This window comes from Homo sapiens, chromosome 12, assembly GCF_000001405.40.
Source record: "Homo sapiens chromosome 12, GRCh38.p14 Primary Assembly".
Taxonomy (NCBI): Eukaryota; Metazoa; Chordata; class Mammalia; order Primates; family Hominidae; genus Homo; species Homo sapiens.
Window position 1 is genome coordinate 14,847,717 of NC_000012.12, and position 6,000 is coordinate 14,853,716.

Here is a 6,000-nt window from a genome sequence, read left to right on the forward strand (position 1 = left end):
AGAGTGATTGGGAATACAGGGTAAGGGAGTAGCCATCCTTTCACACATTTGAAAATGATATATTTGCTGAACATGAGCTGTGCATGATGCTCTGGGGATTCAGCCATAACCAACCAGATATGGTCCCAGCTCTCTAGGAACTTAGATCTGTTCAATTTTGAAAGTCAGCTCATGGTAACGGGGCCTAGCAGTCAGGAGGAGATTCTGAAAAAAAGCTCCATTTCCCAAAGGGAATTTAAAAAAAGAGAGTACTAGTCACATTAATTCACTAGAGAATGGGGATTAGAAATGGGTTCTTAATTTCCAAATCATCAATTTTTAGTGGAGAGTAGAAGCTCTAAAATTTTCGAGGCATCGTCAGGACTAAGAGAACTGGAAGTTACTTACATATCTAGGGAGGAGCTGTGATCCCAGATAAGTCTGGGATCACGTTCCTCGATGAAAAGAGCAGTGACTGAGAGGACCCAGCATCCAATGCCCAGGCACCAGGCCCGGCTCCCACTGAGGCATGAGGGCTTGTGAGGCTGCACGTGAGGCCGTCTGCACACAGGGCAGGACTGAGCTTTTAGAGGTGGAATGAGTGGGCGCATCTATGGGAAACAGGATGGCAGAAACGAGAGATTAAGCAAGGAAGAGCAGCACAAAAAAATTTGTGTGTGTGTGTGTGCACATGTATGTGTGACAATATATCTTTTTTTTGGGGGGGCAAGTATTGCTTCAAAATCTGGAGTTTTCTATTGCATTGTGTTCCTCTATTTTCAGCATCTCCCCCACTTTGGCATTCATTTTGGTGGAATCCTTGGTTGTTTCTCATGTACGTTGAGCTTGCTAAGCAGACCAAGGTTTCCCACCACTGGCAGCAGCAATTCTCTGTGTTCCATGGATTAGTGGTTGTAAATTTACTTCTACACTTAAGTTAGCGCCCAGGCTTAATTTGAAGTTAAGCTACTTCTCTTTGGTTATAATGGCTTTATATTAAATAATCCTTTGTTTATACATTTCTATTTTGTTCACTAAGAGACAACAAACTGAAGGCCTTTTTACCAGGTTTTTTATCTGCACCCTGTAGTCAAACCCCTTCTTTCATTTCCATGTGTCTCTACTATACTGGACAGAGGGGCACAATTCAGGGAAGATGGACCTTGCTTTTCTCTGGATAGATCATGGTGAGTAAATGCTTCGTGTGGCTCAGAAGTCTGCCTTTTGAAGGTTTTCTAACTTATTATCCTGCCAAACATAATAGCTCTTGCCCCACTCCCTATTTTCCCTGGATCACAAGCTACTCCCTAGAAATAAAGTTAACTTTTAGCATCTTCTGTCTGACTGTATCTTGAACAATTTGTAGCTTCTATTCATTACTAGAAATTGATGGCTTTTCTCCTCCACTCAGCTGTAGCTTCTTTGTGAAGGAAAACATAGCCTGGCTTCACTGTCTGTTACTGTTCCTGGGGAGGTGGGAAGAGTGAGCTACCTTTTTATGGATACGGTGGGTTCTAAATTTGTACTATAGCTGTTCTCCTCTTAGCTTCCATGAGTATCTGGAGTTAAATCCATTCTACCAGTTTAATGATTGATTTTCTTTAAAAAACTCTCATCTACTTGAGAAATTAATATTACATTCATAAACATAAAATTGATCATATTCTTATAAAATTCATAACGCTGGCTTCCTGCTAACAGAGATTTTGCTCCTCCCTTGCTACGAGACATGTTACAATCTTCTTGCATTGACTAATAATGAATGGTACAAACATAAATCACACTTCTCTAATCACTACTTTTTTGTTTTTACTGACTGGAGGGGAAAATGTTTCAGTCCACCTTACCCCAAAGGTAATAACATATCAAATAACACTTACTACATCAGTTTCATTGAATCCAAATTCATTCACTATTATTTAGAATGTTTCTGGTCTGCGGGGGCCAAGTCTCTCTCACTGCTCTTTTCTAATGTTTGAAGATGCTATTCTGTTCTTCCAAGTTTTCCCTTTCCAGACTCAACATTCTGACTCAACTTTTCCTCAGAGAGCACAGTTTCCAGACTATCATCCTGGCCATCTTTCTCTTTCTGAATTCCAGTAAGCCCATGACCCTTGTAAAATACAGCAACGAGACACTCCACATGTGTCTAATCTGTGGGACTAAAGGCTTCCTTTGTTCTGAACACTTTGCTTCCACTGATGTTATTATAACCTAAGGCAAAGCAGCTTTTTTGGGGGCAATTATGTCATACTTTGACTCACTGAATTTGCACGTGATAGAAATCATAAGTCATTACCATATGAACTTCTATTAGTAAGTCAACTCTCACCAATTCTATGCACCTGTAAAGTTGAAGTAGATTTATCAAGCCCAATTTTAGAACCTTACATTTATGCATATTAAGTCTCTTTATTTTAACCTGTCAAGCACTTCATGAATCTTAATATGAAGTATATTAGCAATAACTCTTGGTTTAGTTTCATGAAAGAAAACCAGAATACTCTTCTTTTCATATCTTCATTCCAAACCTTAAAATATTAAAATTAGCACAGGACTCAGTAGCGACTGCTGGCCGTGACAATAAGAATTTCCTTTTAGATTGAAAATGATGCATTTTAAAGCTCTTTTTAGTTATCGATCAACCAGTTCTGCTTAACCAGGTTTGAACACATAATTCTGCTAATATCTTAATTAGGAAATTCAACTTGTCAGTTGAATTCTAAAGACATTTTTGGTTTAGCATGCATAATTTAAAAAATATTTGTATGCCCTCAGGTAGTCAAGCATTCTTCATGTACTCATAATTCACACCTTTCACCCTTAGACTCGTTTGATCATGTATATTCTCCGCCTGGACTTTGTAGGCATTTGAGTTTGCCAGCCGTATCCGAATCATTCCACTTAGGATATAGAAACCTTTAAAGCATGTCACCCCTAGCCTAAAAATGAGAGGAAAAGCTATATAACTTATAAAATCACAAATTTTCTTGAATCTATGAAAAAGCCGAGGTCACAAGACAACCAGGTTAACTGAATTTCAGAGGGCAACAGGCCCTCTGAGGAGAGATGGGGCACATGAATTGCTACATCTTTGTGGGAGTAGAGGAGAAAGGGGCAGCTGTCTTAAGAGTGGGTAAAAAATAAGCAGCCAAAATTTTAACAAATTCTTAAAGGTCCAGTGTAGGCTAGTGCGACAGTTCAGAATCTTCTAGAGATCTAGACTCAAGAAGAATAGACACTCATTCTCAAATCCTTTTCCATAAGCCTCCATGGGGAATTCACAAGAAAGACTGGAGACAGGACAGGAGACCTGAGAGATTCCTTCTCTGAGATGAAAGCAGGTACAAAGCCTTCGCTGTTCTGTCTCTGCTGTTATTTGAAGCAAAAGCCATGTGCCCTGGGGGGAGGGTGAAGGGCACTTGTCTGGTTCAGGAACCTGCAATCAAACAAAGCACAGAGGTCAGCCATCACCAGGGCAGAGTAGAAACTCTCCATGCAAGACCTTTCTTAGACACAAGGCAGAATTTGCTGCAGGGATGAGAAGGGAAGATGGAGGAAGGGGAGGAGTACTGAGAAAGCCCCAGGCCATGGCCCAGGCACAAGAGTCCTTCCTTAGTTTGAGGCTATACCAGGGAAACCCCTTGCCCTGCCTTACAACAAGCCTGGCAGCAAGTAACAAGCAAGAAACACTAGACTACTGCAGAGGGAGGTGCATGTCTGTGGAGGGGCATGCTGGGCCTGCTGCAAGCTGAACACAGAACAGAAACAGAGAAAAGCCCTCAGGTGTCTCAGACTCCACAATAGACACAAGGTAAAAGCAACCCACAGCTGGAGGAATTTGAAGTTGTGGTGCACTGAAGGCAACTAGAGCCAAACAAAACCCAAACCCAGCTCAACTACTGACTAGCTTGACTCAACTCCCATACTAATTGCCTGAAAGAAGAAGATATGTGTCTGTTTCAGGGTATAGATACCACTTACCTCAGTCTTTATTGTTTTTCTATGCACAGCATGCAACATTCAATAACGAATTATGGGCTGGGAGTTATAGCTCATGCCTGTAATCCCAGCACTTTGGGAGGCCAAGACAGGAGGATGGCTTTAGGTCAGGAATTTGAGATCAGCTTGGATAACATAGTAAGACTCCATCTTTGCAATAAAATTAAAAATTAGCCAGGCTTGGTGGCATACACCTGTGGTCCCAGCTACTTGAGAGGCCAAGGCAGGAGGATCCGTTGAGCTCAAGAAGTCAAGGCTTCAGTGAGCTATGATCACACCACTGCACTTCAACCTGAGTGACAGAGTAAGACCCTATCTCAAAAAAAAAAAAAAAAAATTACACTCACACAAAAATGAGACAAACAATCCATTGTCAAGAGATAAAGCAATCCACAGAACCATACTGGAGACATTAGACAGGGACTTTAAAATGACTATGATTGATGGGTTAAAGTCAGTATGAAAGTTTGTCAAATGCTTTCCTAAAATCTAGACTTAACATATCCTAATTTTCCTAAAGCAGTTGACATTTTAAGAATCGGTATCCATAGTTGTGGCCATTTTTTTTTTTTTTAACTTCTTGGAGTCTACTTCATTAGAAACTGGTCTATAATATCTATTAACTTAAATTTCTTCATGATAATCATCATGTTTGCTTAATTCTCCAGGTAACACAAAACAAACAAAAGATTCACACCAGGTCTCCCCTTCTCCTTCTCCTTCTCCCACTCCCACTCCCCCTCCCAGTCCCACAACCCCTCCCCCTCCCCCTCCTCCTCCTCCTTCTTCTTTTTGAGATAGGGTCTTGCTTTGTCACCCAGGCTGGAGTGCAGAGATGTGATCACAGCTCACTGCAGCCTCGACTGGGCCTCAAGTAATTCCCTCACCTCAGCCTCCCAAGTAGCTAGGACTACAGGCACATGCCACTATTCCCAGCTGATTTTTAAATTTTTTGTAGAGATGGAGTCTCACTCTGCTGTCCAGCCTGGTCTTGAGCTCCTGGGCTCAAGTGATCCTCCCACCTCAGCCTCCCAAACTACTGGGATTACAGGGGTGAGCCACTGCATTGGGCCCAGACCAGGTCTTCTGACTCCAGTCAATGATGATTTGCATGAAACTACACTATAGTTAGCTGTAGGTGATTCTCCAGAACAATACTAACCGCAGCTAATATTTACTGCTATTAATATTTACATCAGATATTGTGCTAAATATTGTACATGTTTTATCTCATTCAATTCCCCAACTACCCTTTTTTTTAATAGTATAATCAATACTCTAAGTGCTGATGAACTGAGGATTAAAGCAACTAAAATAACTTTCAGCCTTCTTACCCTGTCTCTGTTGTCTCTTGTTTTCCATATCCTTTGTTGGGATGAGGTGAGTGGGAAGCTGTTTGTCCCTTTTGTCCTCACTACCCTGACCTGGTTGATGAGCCCACATGCTCTGAAATTTATTTTCTGGAAGTGGTGGTACTGGCTTGTTTCTTTTCTAGCTGGCCAACTTTTCTATGTTTGGTTCTTGTTCACATAAACTGCAGGACCTAGTGGCTCTTTTCTGATTAAGTTTACTTTTCTGAATTTGACAGCTCAAGTTATAGACCCTCATGTGCAGGGTTTATGATTCTCTGCTCCAGTCTAGATGAATTCCAGACATGGTTTTAGCACCTCTCGGTCAGCCCTATAGTCTTGATCCTCAATAAAATTATCTTTTTCAAGTCCCTGCATGATCAAAGGATGCAGTTGTTTAGGAGATGGGCAGATTTAGGCTTCAATCCTGATTCTACTTTTTCTAGTCCAACGACTTTGAGCATATTATTTAACATCTCTAAGTCTAGCTTACACTTTGGAAAATGGAGATAACATTATCCGTCTCAAATGGTCATTAGAACTGAATGATTAAAGTTTGTAAAGTGTTTAGGACAGTGTCTATTACTACCTAGAGAGTGCTCACTAAATGGCAATTATTATTGTTGTTTTTAATATTATGATTATTATTCTTTAGAAGGAAGTTGGCTAG

At 40.8% G+C, this 6,000-nt stretch overlaps 1 annotated feature.

The window, feature by feature from the left end:
• Window positions 3,679-3,728: an enhancer, noted in NCBI's record as "active region_6058". NCBI's record gives its function as "activates an Ori minimal core promoter by ATAC-STARR-seq in GM12878 lymphoblastoid cells {active_cell/tissue: GM12878}" and the evidence as "EXISTENCE:reporter gene assay evidence [ECO:0000049][PMID:35858748]".